This window comes from Homo sapiens, chromosome 3 (assembly GCF_000001405.40).
Source record: "Homo sapiens chromosome 3, GRCh38.p14 Primary Assembly".
Classification (NCBI taxonomy): Eukaryota; Metazoa; Chordata; class Mammalia; order Primates; family Hominidae; genus Homo; species Homo sapiens.
Genome location: NC_000003.12, coordinates 189,168,126 through 189,184,549, shown reverse-complemented (window position 1 = coordinate 189,184,549; position 16,424 = coordinate 189,168,126). Strand labels below are relative to the sequence as shown.

The window sequence follows — 16,424 nt, the reverse complement described above, 5'->3', positions numbered from 1 at the left end:
AAAGAAGGAAAAAGAAATCTTCCCTTAAGCCCACTATGCAGGGAAAATGAAAGTAAATAATTTTTCTGTATATACTTGCAGACTTTTTCTATATTTATCTGGACATAATATCATTTTTCTACTTAAACAATGGAGTTATGCTATCAGTGTTGTTTCGTAAACTGCCTTTTACACTTGATACATAAAAGGATACCAATATTGACAATGGTGGCAATACTTATGAAGCACTTGCATGTGCTATGCACATGGTTTTATCTGCATTGGCTCATTGCAAACTCATCATAGCCTCATGGTTCAGGTACTCTAATTATCCTCATTTGACAGATTAAGAGACTGAACCTCAGAGGGTTAAGGAGCTTGCCCAGGGTCACACGGTTAGTAACTGATAGAGCTCTAAGTTCATCAAAAGTTGTTGTGGGAAGTCAGGGACCCCAAACAGAGGGACTGGCTAAAGCCATGGCAGAAGAACATGGATTGTGACGATTTCATGGACATTTATTAGTTCCCCAAATTAATACTTTTATAATTTCTTACACCTGTCTTTACTGCAATCTCTAAACATAAATTGTGAAGATTTCATGGACACTTATCACTTCCCCAATCAATACCCTTGTGATTTCCTATGCCTGTCTTTACTTTAATCTCTTAATCCTGTCATCTCGTAAGCCGAGGAGGATGTATGTCCCCTCAGGACCCTGTGATAATTGCGTTAACTGCACAAATTGTAGAGCATGTGTGTTTAAACAATATGAAATGTGGGCATCTTGAAAAAAGAACAGGATAACAACAATGTTTGGGAAACAAGAGAGATAACCTTAAACTCTGACCTCTGGTGAGCCAGGTGGAACAGAGCCATATTTCTCTTCTTTCCAAAGCAAATGGGAGGAATATCACTAAATTCTTTTTCTCAGCAAGGAACATCCCTGGGAAAGAGAATATGTGCCTGGGGGTGGGTCTATAGATGGCCCCCTTGGGTGTGGTCGTCTTCTATGATCAAAACTGTAGGGGTGAAAGAAACCCCAGTCTCCCATAGCACTCCCAGGCTTATTAGGAAGAGGAAATTCCTGCCTAATAAATTTTGGTCAGACTGGTTGCTCTCAAAACCCTTCTCCTGATAAGATGTTATCAATGACAATGGTGCCCGAAACTTCATTAGCAATCTTAATTTTGCCCCGGTCCTGTGGTGCTGTGATCTTGCCCTGCCTCCATTTGCCTTGCGATATTCTACTACCTTGTGAAGTATGTGATCTCTGTGACCCACACCTATTCGTATACTCCCTCCCCTTTTGAAAGTCCCTAATAAAAACTTGCTGGTTCTGTGGCTTGCGGGGCATCATGGAACCTACCGACATGTGATGTCTCCCCCGGACGCCCAGCTTTAAAATTTCTCTCTTTTGTACTCTGTCCCTTTATTTCTCAAACTGGCTGACGCTTAGGGAAAATGGAAAAGAACCTACGTGACTACTGGGGCAGGTTCCCCGATAAAAAGTCACTCTGTTTCCAAGCCTGTTTTCCACTAGTAGTAGTAGTTGCTACTCTACTTAGTTAATAATTTTCTTATACTTGAAAATTGCTCAGAGAATAGATCTTACATGTTCTCACCACAAACAAAAAATTATAACTAAGTGAGGTGATGGGTATGTTAATTAGCTTGATTGAGGTAATCATTTTGCAATGTATACATATGTCAAAACATCACATTGTACACCATAAAGATATATAATTATTATTTGTCAATTATACCTCAATAAAGCTGGAAATAAATAAATAAATTCCTATAATGACATAATAGTGACTGTATAAGGTTCTATTATTTACTTTCTATTGTTAATTATTCATGTTGCTCCCTTTTTACGTACTTTTATAATGACTATGCACTGAGGGTTCTTGTAGGTAAAACTTTTTATAAGCCTTAATTTCTTTTTCAGTATAAATTTCCAGAAGTGGGAGTGCTGGATCAAAGATTTATGAATCTTGGTATACATGGCCAAATTCCTCCCCCAACCTAATGGTATATCTAATGTTATACCAATTTAAGTTTCAGTAGAATACATGAAGGTCCATTTTCCCACAGGTTAGCAGAGGGCTTTATAATTTAATCCTAAATTAACTGTTTAAAACATGTTAGTCAGATATTTGTTTTAATGTGGACTACTTTTTTTAAGTTATGAGCTTGGAAAGTTGGGGTATGCATGTATAAGCAGACACTTTTATTAGTTTCATCTTCTTTGACTTACTGCTCAGCAAGAGTTCTTCATTGCAGATACTATTGAGGATTAATAGGTAAGAATAATGATACAAAATTTTCAGAATGGACACACCAATTATGCAAGCTTATGAATTCCTAACTAAAATGTAAAATTAACCATAGTAGTTGGCTTCCAAAGTTGTTGACATGGTTTGTCTGTGTCTCCACCCAAATCTCATCTTGAATTCCCATGTGTTGTGGGAGGAACCCAGTGGGAGGTAATTGAATCATGGGAGTTAGTCTTTCTCATGATAGTGAATAAGTCTCGGGAGATCTGATGGTTTTAAAAAGAGGAGTTACCCTGCCCAAATTCTCTTTCTTTGTCTGCTGCCATCCATGTAAGACATGACTTGCTCCTCCTTGCCTTCCACCATGATTGTGAGGCTTCCCCAGTCACATGGAACTCTAAGTCCATTAAAACTCTTTCTTTCATAAATTGCCCAGTCTCAGGTGTGTCTTTATCAGCAGTGTGAAAACGGATGAATACAGTAAATTGGTACTAGTAGAGTAGGGTGCTGCTGAAAAGATACCCAAAAATGTGGAAGCAACTTTGGAACTGGATAACAGGCAGAGGTTGGAACAGTTTAGAGGGCTCGAAAGAAGACAGGAAAATATGGGAAAGTTTGAGACTTCTTAGAGACTTGCTGAGTGGTCTTGACTAAAATGCTGATAATAATATGAACAATAAGGTCCAGGCTAAGATGGTCTCAGATGGAGATGAGGAACTTGTTGGGAACTAGAGCAAAGGTGACTGTTGTTATGTTTTAGCAAAGAGACTGGTTGCATTTTGCCCCTGCCCTAGAGATTTGTGGAACTTTGAACTTGAGAGAGATGATTTAGAGTACCTGCCAGAAGCAATTTCTAAGCAGCAAAGCATTCAAGAGGTGACTTGGGTGCTGTTAAATGCATTCAGTTTTATAAGGGAAGCAGAACATAAAAGTTTGGGAAATTTGCAGCCTGACTGAGATAGAAAAGAAAATCCCATTTTCTCAGGAGAAATTCAAGCTGGCTGCAGAAATTTGGATAAGTAACGGGAAGCCAAATGTTAATCCCCAAGAAAATGGGGAAAATGTCTCCAGGGCATGTCAGAGGTCTTCATAGCAGCCCCTCCCATCACAGGCTGGGAGGCCTAAGAGGAAAAAGTGGTTTAGTGGGCTGGGCCCAGGGTCTCCATCCTTGTGCAGCCTAGGGACTTTGTGCCCTGTGTGCTAGCCACTCCAGCCATGGCTGAAAGGGGCCAACATAGAGCTCAGGCCATGGCTTCAGAGGGTGCAAGCCTCAAGCCTTGGCAGCTTCTACTTGGAGTTGAGCCTGCCAGTACACAGAAGTCAAGAACTGGGGTTTGGGAACCTCTGCCTAGATTTTAGAAGATGTATGGAAATGCCTAGATGTCCAGGCAGAAGTCTGCTGCAGGGGTGAGGCTCTCATGGAGAAACTCCTCTAAGGCAGTGTGGAAGGGAAATGTGGGGCCAGAGTCCCCACACAGAATCCCTACTGGGGCACCACCTAGTGGAGCTGTGAGAAGATGGTCACTCCCCCAGACCCCAGAATAGTAAATGCGCTGACGGTTTGCACTGTGCACCTGGAAAAGCCATAGATACTCAATGTCAGTCTGTGAAAGCAGCTGGGAGGGAGGCTGTACCCTGCAAAGCCACAGGGATGGAGCTGTCTAAGACCATTGGAACCTACCTCTTGCATCAGTGTGACCTGGATGTGAGACATGAAGTCAAAGTAGATCATTCTGGAACTTTAAGAGTAGAGTGCCCTGCTTGATTTTGGACATGGATGGGGCCTGTAGCCCTCTTGTTTTGGCCAATTTCTCCCATTTGGAATGGCTGTATTTACCCAATACCTGTACCCCCACTGTGTCTAGGAAGTAACTAACCTGCTTGTGATTTTACAGGCTCATAGGTGGAAGGGACTTGCCTTGTCTCAGATGAGACTTTGGACTGTGGACTTTTGAGTTAATACTGGAATTAGTTAAGACTTTGGGGGACTGTCGGGAAGGCATGATTGGTTTTGAAATGTGAGAACATGAGATTTGGGAGCGACCAGAGGTGGAATGATATGGTTTGGCTCTGTCCCCACCCAAATCTCATCTTGAATTCCCACATGCTATGGGAGGACCCAGTGGGAGGTAACTGAATCATGGGGCAACTCTTTCCCATGCTGTTCTCATGATAGCAAATAAGTCTCACGGGATCTGATGGTTTTAAAAAGAGGAATTCCCCTGCAAAAACTCTATCTCTTCGTATGCTGCCGTCCATGTAAGATGTGACTTGCTCCTCCTTGCCTTCCATCATGATTGTGAGGCTTCCCCAGACACATGGAACTGTAAGTCCACTAAACCTCTTTCTTTCATAAATTGCCCAGTCTCATGTGTGTCTTTACCAGCAGTGTGAAAAAGGACTAATATGGTTGTAGATTTGATTTGCATAATTAATTAGTTCTGCATATAAGAATGTCTTGAACTTGGGTACTCCCCCTTTTTCTTATGTGACATACATTAACCTCCCTAGTGCAACTCTAAATGGCATAAAAGAGTGCTACATTTAATTGATTAATTCAAACACATTTTGGGGGAAACTTCTCTGGGCCAAGTACTGTGCTGGGGAAAACAGAGAGGTGGAGAGTAGAAAGCAACCTGCAAATACAATTTCTTCCCTTAAGGAGTAATTGTCTGTGAAAGAGTCAGATCTACAAACAGATAATTATGAGATGTCTGGATAAAGCAATAGGCAATAATCTGTATAGTGTGCAATAGGGGCACTCTCAATGCAACTGCAGAAAGTCACGCTGAGCTGTCTGAATACCTATGGATCTAGGAGCTCTTCCAAAAGGCAAACCACTAGAGACACACCAAGTATTCAGTACAATCTGTGGCTGAAAGACAAGGTTTATATGTCACTCTAGGAAGTTACCTTTTGGTGATCTCAGTGATGGGTGAGGAGAGCCACCACTGGGGAAGTGACAAATGGTGTGCAAAGCTTTCCATTCTGGATCAAAATAATATGTCCATGCCTGCTTATAAAGAGTAGCAATGTCCCATTTGAGAACCAGGTAGAATTGGAGACCCAGAAATGTATGGTTGCAGCTCCATGTAAAAAGAAAGAATCTTAACTGTGCATGACCTTCAAGTTGACAGAAAGCATCAGACAGCATAAGGATATATCATAGATGTTGGTAAGTTGACACAAAAGCACTACTAGAGGAAGACATTAATGTGAGAACCAGTCTATGAGTAAAGGTATAAAAAACTGTATTCCCAACCTCCAGCCAAGCAGATGGTTCAACCTGAAGTCTTATGTTGACACTACTTGGGAGAATCTTTCCAAATACTGCAAGTTTTCACTGATGCAGACACTGAGTTCTAATTCCTTTTTAGAGCTCCAAACATCCTCCATTTGATGTAAAATCACTGTCAGTTTAGGAGACATTGCTCAGAAGTGTGAGTTTCCTGAGATTTATAAAATGTCCTTAAACCATGGCTAAGTAAAACTGTTATAGAAAGTTCTAAAGCTATAAGTTATCTCCAAAATTATGAGTAGAGTAAGGCAGTGAAGAGAACCATGAACTCAACTTTTAGAAACCAGGTTTAAATACCATCTGCTATTAATTTGCTGTCTGATTCTGCACAGTTGACTTCAACCCCTGGAGCCTGAAAAAATGATAACTCTTACCAGAACTACTTTACAGGGTTGTAGAAAGATAAAATAAAATGTTCTGCCTATGTACATCAATCAAGTTACAAACTCTACGAAGCATATTTCTTTTTTTTCCTTTGAGATGGAGTCTCACTCTATCGCCCAGGCTGGAGTGCAGTGGCGTGATCTCAGCTTCTGCCTCCCGGGTTCAAGCAATTCTAGTGTCTCAGCCTTGCGAGTAGCTGGGACTACAGATGCGCATCACCATGCCTAGCTAATTTTTGTATTTTTAGTAGAGACGGGGTTTTGCCATGTTGGCCAGTCTGTTCTGGAACTCCTGGCCTCAAGTGATCTGCCCACCTTGGCCTCCCAAAGTGCTGGGATTACAAGGCATGAGCCAGTGTGCCCGGCCCATGAAAGCATACTTCTGTTATCTTTCCTCCACCTCAATAAAAACCCATCCTTTTCCTCACAGCTGGTGCCCATTTTCTCCATTTTCTTTTATAAATAAGCTCCTTGAAAGGAACATCTATATTCACAATCTCCAATTCCTTTCTTCCCATTGTCTTGAGCCTGTGCCAGCACACTGCTGCATGCTCAGTTCTCAGGCATCATCCAACTCCACCTCTCAGCAGCATCTGTACCATCTGATCACTTTCTCCTCCTGGGAAGACTCCTTTGCCTGACTCCCAGGACACACCACATTCACCTAGTGTCCACCCAGCACGCTGGCTACTCCTCCTCCATCTCCCTTCTGGGTTCGAATAGAACCTGAGAGAAGTGGAGGAAAGAGGAAGTAGCAAGAATATTCTGTTTTAACGTGTTGATAATTTAGGGATGCATTGTCTACAGAAAATGTAAATGAAAAGAATTATTCTCATTATTACCATGTGATAGAGATTCTAAGTGATTTAGGTGATACAATACCCCTCTCTGCTGGCATGGGACCACTCTCACCACCCCCCTTCCCATTTGGTACACCACTGACTGGGTTCACTGCACCTCTCTAAACTCAAACATTCAGCACCCCAGAAGTCAGTCCATAAACCTCTCCTCTTTTCTATCGATACTAACTCCTTTGATTACCTCATTTGATTTCATTGCTGTGAATACCATATATATATATGTATATACATAGATAAGTATATGCATATATAAACAGACATATATATGTATATACATATATAAGTATATGCATATATAAACAGACATATATATGTATACATATATATGTATAGACATATATATGCGTATACATACATACATATATGATTCCCATTTTTTATCTTCGGCTCTGATATCCTCACTGAATACCAGATTTATACATTTACTCCCCACTTAACATTTCAAACTTAACCTGTCCATAAGTAAGCTCCTAATACTCCTTCAAAACTTATTCATCTCACCATCTTCTCCATCTCAAATAAAGGCCACTCTTTTCTACCTGTTGCTCAGGTAAAACTGTGGTGTTATACTTGACTTATCTGTCTCACTATCCCTCATTCTATATATCAGCCACTAGAATCAAAACATTCTCATTCCTGCACAACCAGCTACATCCTCATCCAAGCTTCCACATCATTCATCTGGATTATAGCAATAACTCCCTAAGAATCTCTCTTCTTCTGCCACCTCTCTCCCCACTTCATCCTCATCTGTTCTCAACACACAGACAGAAGGATACCTTTCAAACATAAGTCAGACCATGTCATTCATCTGCTCAAATCTGCAAATAGCTCCTATTTCAATCAGAGTGAAAGTCAAAGCCCTTATTGTGTCTTACAGGGCCCTGCATTATCACTTTTCCCTGTTCTCACTCCACAATCATCTAACTTCTAACTTCATCTCCCAAAATCCAAAGATCTTTCCACTCAGTTCGTTCCACGCCTTATTTTTCAAAGATGCCAGGCTGGCAAGCTCTTGCTTCAAGGCCTTTGCACTTCCTGTTCCAGCTGCCTGGAATACTCTTTCACCAATTAGTGCCTCGCTGACTCCTTCATATCCTTAAGTCCTTTACCCAAATAATGCCTCATTCCACCCTAAGCACCCTGTCCAAAATCTAGCTCTCCATAACTTTCTATCCTCTTTCTCTGTTCTATTGTTCTCCATATCTCATATATTACATATTTTACTGAATGGTTTTGTTTATTTTCTGTATCACTATAAATATAAGCTCCTTGAATAAAGAGATTATTATTTTTTTTCACTGCTGCTATTACCAGAACTACTTATGGGGTTGTAGAAAAGACACAATTTTCTTCCCAAAACTTAAAACAGATATTCAATAGCTTTCAATGAATGACACTTGAATAGACGTTTGAATTGAACCATTGTTCAATAAATAGTTTAAAATGAATGAATCTTGTTCAAACACCTCATTTTACTCTGTGTCACATCACCTACATACGTCTCTTGAGGCGCAGAACTCTGAGATATAAGTACAACTCTAAGCCAATCCCACACACAATCATACACATGAAAATGAGAAAAGTTTGGTTATTTATAAAATACCTTGGGGTTTGGAGTTGTGTAAATATTAAATATTGCTTTGGTGACAGTGTAGCCCTTTGCAAAACAAAATCTTTCCCTTCACCCACCTGGAATGCTGTGAAACACAGTGGAGCATGCATATATTTACGATTTTCTCAGTAATGTTTATTATGAAGGAATCCAGGGTCAGGATATCAAGAATCTTCTATGCCTGTTCCTTATAGAGTGACTGCTTCCCAGACCAAAGGACAAAGGTTACGTAATAAAAAATCTTCCCACATCACACAAGTTAAGAACTCAACTTGTGCATCATCATTTTTCTAACATTCAGATAACCCAGAGGAATAGACTTTCTTGAGAGAGAGAAACCTTTTCCATATTTTTAAATGAGTCTTATAGGTTGCTTAACATATTTTAAAAATATTTTTATCCATCTTTCTAATTCTACTGTATAGCACCACCTTGCCTTACTCACTTCACATGATACTGTGTATTGTATTCATGTAAGTGCTCAACTTAATCCTGTTCTTTTTTTTCTGTTACTTCTGAAAATCCTAATGTAGAGCTAAGGTGTGCCTACACAGACATTCTCTCACTGACGACTTACAAACTTGGATAACAATGAGCTAATAATCATGAACTAATGTCTGGTCAATAGCCGTAATGCCCATCAAAGACACCATGTTGTGCCTGATCTGAAACCCTGAGCCTGCCAGCACCCAGGATCTGGTGAAGACCCAGACTTCTGGCCTCATTCCACTTCAGTTCCACTGGCCCTATATTGAGCTGTAGTAAATGCTTCCTACCCTTCAAATATACTTCAAATAGTATTGACTTGGGAGTTTACTTAAACTCTTCTCTTGTTGAAAACTCTTCTCACGTCTATTGAGCCAAAGCCCAGTTCGAGTGCCATTTCATCCTTACAATTATCTCTGATGGCAACCTACCTAGTTGCCATAAATCTCTTCTTCGTGAGACCTCAATATTTGCTTTCTTCTTCGTCTTGAAATATTTATCATATTCTGTCTTGCATTATAGTTACTTGTGTACACATTTTCAATACTAGATGGTAAGCCCCTTTGAGAAAGGGTCTCTACTCTTTACCCCTAAATCCCTAAGCTTAGGGTTGTATAATACACCATAGGTGATCAAAAGGTGATTATTATATTAGTGGGTGAATAAGAGAAAACATATCATTAAGCTAGTCTCTAGTATTTCAGCAATTTGGATTCTTTGGAAACAGGGCATTATATTGCTATCTATGTGCTATCATACATCATAATTTCTTTTCTTGTTTTTATGCCATTGATCGATTGAGTAAAGAGGATTACCCTGCAAGTATCAACTGTCCTTCCTATTCTTTTATAGGCATCTAAATATTATGCTGCAGCAGTGTCATCTTGCTTAATACTTTAGCATTCAAGTCACTGAGTTTTGATAGCTAGCTGAAGAAAATATCCTGGGTAGGTATCAGAGCCAACGGTATGTTCTACTGAAGTCATCATATATCCTATATCTCTTACATAGTGAGAGGTTAGGAACAAATAATTAACTTCACCTCTTCCCTGGTGCCATTAACCTGTAGCCTGGTCTGTCATTATGTAGAACTAGGTTTCCGTTGAAAGAGAATGATTGAAAGGAATCCTAATACCTAAGAGATTGGAAGAGATCAGAAGTGGAAAATTCAAACACTTGGTAGCCTAAATCAGGTAAAATGGGAGCTGTGGAGGATGGGGGAAAACATGTTCTATCTACAGGAAGAAGTTGCTGCCCGGCCCCAGCACAGGTGTTATCCATGAGGGGATGTGGGTCCATTATTATCAGATCTCCTGATCTTCCTGAAAACAAGATATCTGGATTTTTTACAGGAAATTTCCTAGATATCAAATACTTTGGAACTAGTTTTATCTTGTTTAACATGGCAGCACAAACAAAGCACATCTGCATGCTGGATTCACCTGTGGCTGCTGCTCTGCAAGCTCTGGAGTAAATGAATTCTCGGACTTGACGCTGCCATTAGATTAAACAATGTTGAGTAAAATATCAACTATCACTTCAAGTTTTAAAAGGATCAAACTGAGTGGCACTTATTTAGGAAGATCCCAGAAAATATAAAAATCCAGACAGGCTGAAGAAAATGAAGATGCCACCACCTCTTGCCCATCTCCCCATCTTATACCTAAGGAGCAGCTCCAACATTTGGCCGAAGCAAATATTCCAGAAGAACCAAGTCAATAAAGAGAGAGGCTTCTCTGACAGATTTCCCTGCTCTAAAGGGCATGATACCATCTCCAGTAGATGCTAAGCAAAGGTCAAAGTGCCCTAAAACTCTTAATTGGAAGAAATCTTAAAGGACATCTAGTTACAGTCTCCAAAATGACATGGCTAATGCTTCTGCTTGGGACTCCTAGCACCATTCACTACATATTGTGGGCAATGAAAGAGTAAGAGACCCATATGTGACTTGCAGCTCCAATGATACTGGCTGTGTGACTTGTGCATATCACTTCATCTTTCTGGGCCTCAGTTTCTCTGTTTTGAATAAAGTAATCAATTAAACGATTTCTTCAGGATCCTTACAGCCAGAAAGACACCAAGAATATATAGAAGTTCCAGCCTGACCAACATGGTGAAACCCCGTCTCTACTAAAAATACAAAAACTAGCCAGGTGTGGTGGTGCATGCCTGTAATCCCAGCTACTCAGGAGGCTGAGGCAGGAGAATCGCTTGAACCCGGGAGGTGGAGGCTGCAGTGAGCCGAGATCGCGCCACTACCCTCCAGCCTGGGCAACAGAGCAAGGCTCTGTCTCAAAAAAAAAAAAAAAGAAGAAGAAAAGAAAGAAAAAGAATATATAGAAGTCTGCCAAAGATTATATAGCATTACAACCCAATGCATTTGTGGTGGCCCCAAGGGATGACTATCAGTACTGTCATAATAAACTCAAACAGACACACACACACATACACACATGCACACACACACAGAGGAAACATTTCCTTCCACAACTAAGAATGATATAACCTTTTGAGCATGAAAAGAAAAATGATAGCTAAAATTAGCATCTTAAAAAGTAAACTACATAATAACTGAAGATGAGATTTCCTTAAAACTGTAGAACAATGAGATACTATGATAGCTGTCACAAGAGAGGAAATTGCATGAGTGTATTTGAAAGGATTTGGGGGTGTTTTTCCCCCATTGAGATTTGCTTTTCTACATACCACAGTGTGACTGAAAAGCTAAAATATTTCCCCAGGGCCTGTATGATCTGTGCCTCACTACGCTGCCTCTGACATTTGGAGAGTGTCATTTAGCCCCGAATTAAAACCTGCTTATACAGAGATCTGGAGGATGTCTCAGGCGCCAAGTAGTCATCGCTGTCTCATTTGCCTATCACCTTTCAGTTTACAACTCCCCTTTACATACATGCCCTCGTTTGTTCTCTAAAAACAGCCCTGTTTGATGGGACCTATATATTATTATGAAATTTCCCTCAGATGAATTCAAAAATAACCCTCTCAAACTGCCTGCAAAGAAATAATCACCTTTTGTTTGCCATTTAACGGTTCAGAAAGGCTTTTCACTTCTTTTGGCTTTTGGGGATAAGGTATGACCTGCTGGGTTCTATAATAGAGGAAGAGGGAAGAAGGAATCAAATCTAATCTTGGCCTTAACCTGCTGATCCAATTGGAACAAATCACTTCAATTGACCAAGCTTCAGTTCACTAAGCCACCAAATGGAGAAAATTATACCCATCCTACTGCACTATAGGGCAGTTAAGATCAAAATCAATATATAGATAAGTATGTCAAGTGGCTTTATAGGCTAAAAAATGCTAGCCTACAAGCCTCATCAACCCTGGACAGTAAGGAAGAATAGGGAAATTTCACATGGTAATGCAAAACTACAAACCTAAACCAAACTGCAAGTCAGTGGGGGAGGTGACCAGAAACTCGGCTTAGGGGACAGAAGCAATTGGTTCATAGAGAAATAACCCATCTCTGCAGAACCAGTGACAAGCCACTTGATCTTACCTGACTAGGCTGGTCCTCAAGGCTCTTCTTTCTCTTTCTGCACAAAGGGGGCTAGACCACAGATAGTGGCCAGGAGAGGTGTGATTGGCTCAGATAAAGCCAGGCAAGACAGTGCCCTGTGCTGTGACCCCACTCAGTCTGAATCTCACTTCACCAAGTAGGCTGAGAGTTACACTGCCACCCTCAAATAGTCAAATGAAAGGACTGAGGATGTTTACAGGGTGGAACTCAACCCGTCAGAGGCAGAGAATTGGGTTTGTGGGTGGGGCCTTTCTTGTTCTGCAATGACACACCTTTACCTCCTGTCCTCTCCCTCAAGAAGTCCTGCATTTTTCTGCCAACTCCCTCTAATACACATCCAGCTGAGGGAGCAGGAGCAGCCTATCATCCATTCCTCCATGGCTTCTGTATGCCTCCAAGTAGTTATAATTAAGCTTAAGCCTGAGGCCTACACTCCTATCATTAATATTCTTTATGATGGCTTGATTTATTGGATATTTGTGATTTTAAGCATCACTACCACTCTTGTCAAAAATGTAGAAGACATGTAGAGCAGTGTATCTCTGAAAACAAACACATGTACACACAATCTCTGGTCAGTATTCCTATTAGGAAATGTGCCACATGATATTGTCTCTATGTAAGTGTGTATCCCCCTCCCTAGATGGGGGGCCCCTTGAGGGCAATGCTACATCTTATTCTCTCATATACTCCTCAAAACACCCAGCAGATAGTAGGTAATAAATAAATACACATTGAATTAATGATGATCCATTAATATCTATTTAGTGAATCCTGATCTGTCATTTAATGGCTTTGCAGCCTATAGCAAGTCATAATCTATCTTTCTGAGGTTTTTTAATTTTGGTCATCTGTAAGTTGAGAGTATCATTTCTCCTTCAGAAATGCAGATAGAACTTGAAAGGAAGCATATGAGAATAAACCTAGGATAAGATTTGACATAGCAACGGTGCTAAAAAAATGAAATAGAATCTTAATGAACACATTCTGAAACCTAAGCAAGTGTGTTCTACATACAGAGTTGGTATAAAATAAAGTATGAACTGCACAAGTAGGTGGATTGCTGAAAGAAAGGAGAGCACAGAAAACAAAATGCTGTTATGTGTATGATTGAATTTCAATCTTCTATCCTAAATTCTCTACTTCATTCAGCAGACTCTGGCCAAATCAGATTGTATTTGTTTGATGGCTGGAGGAACGGGTGTGCGCTGACAAAGTAAATTGGTTGAATTCCATTCTTTTAAAAGAAAAATAACTAATATTCACCCTTCAAAAAATGTTGTTTAAAGTTCCAGGAATACTGAGGTCATGAAGCGATTCCACAGGAAATGAAGTGCAAACTGGCAACTCGCCACTCAGGAGAGGTCACAATGAATAAACAGTCCTTTTACCTGCTTCCACCGTGTCGAGGACGTCATGTATACTAACTCAACAGTAGTTAACTGAGCAACTACCTTGAGCTTTCTCAGTTATCCACATAGACAAGGATATGAAAAGGAACCAAACACATTCTCTGGCATAAGGAGCTCAAGAAGATAAAATTTGTAAGTGAATTAGCATTGCACGATATAGAAGATGATGAGCACCACAGACAGGATCCTAACAAGTACTATGGTAATCCAGAGGAGGGAGCAACTCCAGGAAGGCTGCACAGCGGTGGAGGCGGCATTAGATCCGGGCTGTTAAGAAGAGCCAGGATTTCAACAAGCACAGATGGTAGAGTTGGGTATAAATGTTATTGGTGAGATGGACTCAGCCACAGTTACCTGATCAAACTGATTTATGCCCCCTCCCTAATACAGACCCCAGGCTGAAAAGAGAGTTTTACAGAACCGGTATCTAGGTCACACCACTTAGACGCCACAAAACTACAGGGCAATTAGAAATAATTGCGAGGCAAATACCGTTCCCACTCAGCTCCAAATGTCTTTATGACAGCTCAGGGTGGGGGCACAAAAGGCAGGAGGAGTGGAGACATGCTGGATCCCAGCCTGGTCTCTTAAGAGAAGGACTAAGCAATGCACTGCTGTTTGAAGTATGCTATTTTAAAGGGCAAGAAACTCTGTGAAAAGACATCAATTGTTCACACGGCATCCATCTAATTATCGTTAGGTTTCCAGCGGCCACTGAACACTCCTCCCAGCTCATGCTGAGCTCCGCCATACTGCAGCCTGCAGTAACATAATACATCCAGGAGGGGCACAAGCAGTAGGAGTAATGCCACACGGAAAACCTCAGCTCTGGTCCCTGCTCAGCTGCTCACTGGGATCAGAGGCAAGTAGCTTAGTTTTCCCCAAGCCTTGATTGCCTCTTCCGTGCAATGGGAGTTACAGTACAGATCCCACCAACCTCCCTGGGCTGTTGAGGGAGAAAATGAGCTCCTGGAGGTGATAAGAGCTTTGTAAAATTCAAAGTATTGGTATGAATGTGAAGCAATACTATGACAGAACATATGGCTATATATAAGAATTCACTTCATGTCTGTATTTCCAGGCATAGCAAAGGCTATGTACAGATCTCCCAGTAGAGGACATGCTCAACAGCCAAGGAGCAGGGAAGCACAGAATAATTTTTACCAGATTGGCCTTCAGAGATCATTTCTCTCTGTGTCCTGTCTCTTCTCTCTCTTCTATAATAACCTTTACAGGCCGGGCCTGGTGGCTCATGCCTGTAATCCCAGCACTTTGGGAGGCCGAGGTGAGCGGATCATCTGAGGTCAGGAGTTCAAGACCAGCGTGGCCAACATGGTGAAACCCTGTCTCTACTAAAAATACAAAAATTAGCCGGGCGCAGTGGCGGGCCCCTGTAATCCCAGCTACATGGGAGGCTGAGGCAGGAGAATCGCTTAAGCCCAGGAGGCGGAGGTTGCAGTGAGCCAAGATCGCTCCACTGCACTCCAGCCTGGGCACCAGAGTGAGACTCCATCTCAAATAATAATAATAATAGCTTTTACAAATTATTGTTCTTCCTCTTCTCATTCAGCTCTAGTGTCTATGAGAAATAACGTATGTTGTTACTTATTTAGGTTAGGAAACACTGGTATGTTAGAACCCCTCTTCTGCCATTTTTCAAATGGGGATGGAGTGACATCCTGATGATCACACAAGCTAGTCTCCTCCCTGGACTCAGCAGGGCTGTTCTCTTACACACTGCCTGGGGCAGCAGATGGGCAGGAGGAAGTACAGGTGGCATGGATCCTGGTCAGGTATGAACCAGAATCACCTCATGTCCAGGTCTCCCTCATAGTGGATCATGCAGATAAAAATTGGTAAATAAACATGCATCACTGGGGGTAAATAGGTACTGTCTACAAGAATCCCATATCCCAACTCCCCAGATACACCCCTTGTCCCAGGAGTCTTTTGGGAAAGAGGAGTTCAATGACAATGAACAGATACTGGCAGCAGCTTTTGAAGTGAACAGGTACTAAGCAATATGAATTTCCCCTTCTCTTGCGTTCCAATAGTACACCACACACGTCACTAGTACCGCCCTCTTATAGTTAGTTTTCTTCCCCAATATGCATCTGTCTACCCTCTTTAAAGATAAGGACCATGTCTTAAACAAGACATTCTTTTTAGAATCTAGCACAGTACAATGCCAATAGTAGGTACTCAAAAGATACCTACTTTGACGGATGGGTGGATGAGTAAACGAATGAATATACAAACTACTCTGTTTTCCTTCACAGCCCTACAAGGCCTCACAGCTAGAGAGGTGACATTTCAGAGAAGGAGAAACAAAAAGCCCCTTCTGCTTTTGACAAGGGACTAAATTCAGCCCAAAGCATCTTTTTTTCTCTCTCTATTTACTCCGGACAATCTGTCCCTTATCAGATGAGCTCAAGGCTGGTTGGAAATATGCATATTTTATTTGAAAATATCTGCTTCCTCCAGTTTTGTTTTGCCACATACACATTTGTCTGCTTTGCTGTATGTTGTGTATCAGATAGGACTCAGACAAACTGCTTTGGCTTCCTAAACTG

At 41.1% G+C, this 16,424-nt stretch overlaps 1 protein-coding gene across 17 annotated transcripts in view; it reads right to left on the bottom strand.

The window, feature by feature from the left end:
• TPRG1 (tumor protein p63 regulated 1) overlaps positions 1-16,424 on the bottom strand; it is a 328,078-nt gene that overhangs the window by 140,755 nt on the left and 170,899 nt on the right. Inside the window, exon 1 of one of the 17 annotated variants that reach the window (NM_198485.4) lies at positions 12,419-12,579. The exons of the other annotated variants lie outside the window; for them this stretch is intronic. The gene's annotated coding sequence lies outside the window, so the exon portion shown is untranslated. Of the gene's footprint in view, positions 1-12,418; positions 12,580-16,424 lie in introns of those variants that run through there. 17 annotated transcript variants of the gene reach the window in all.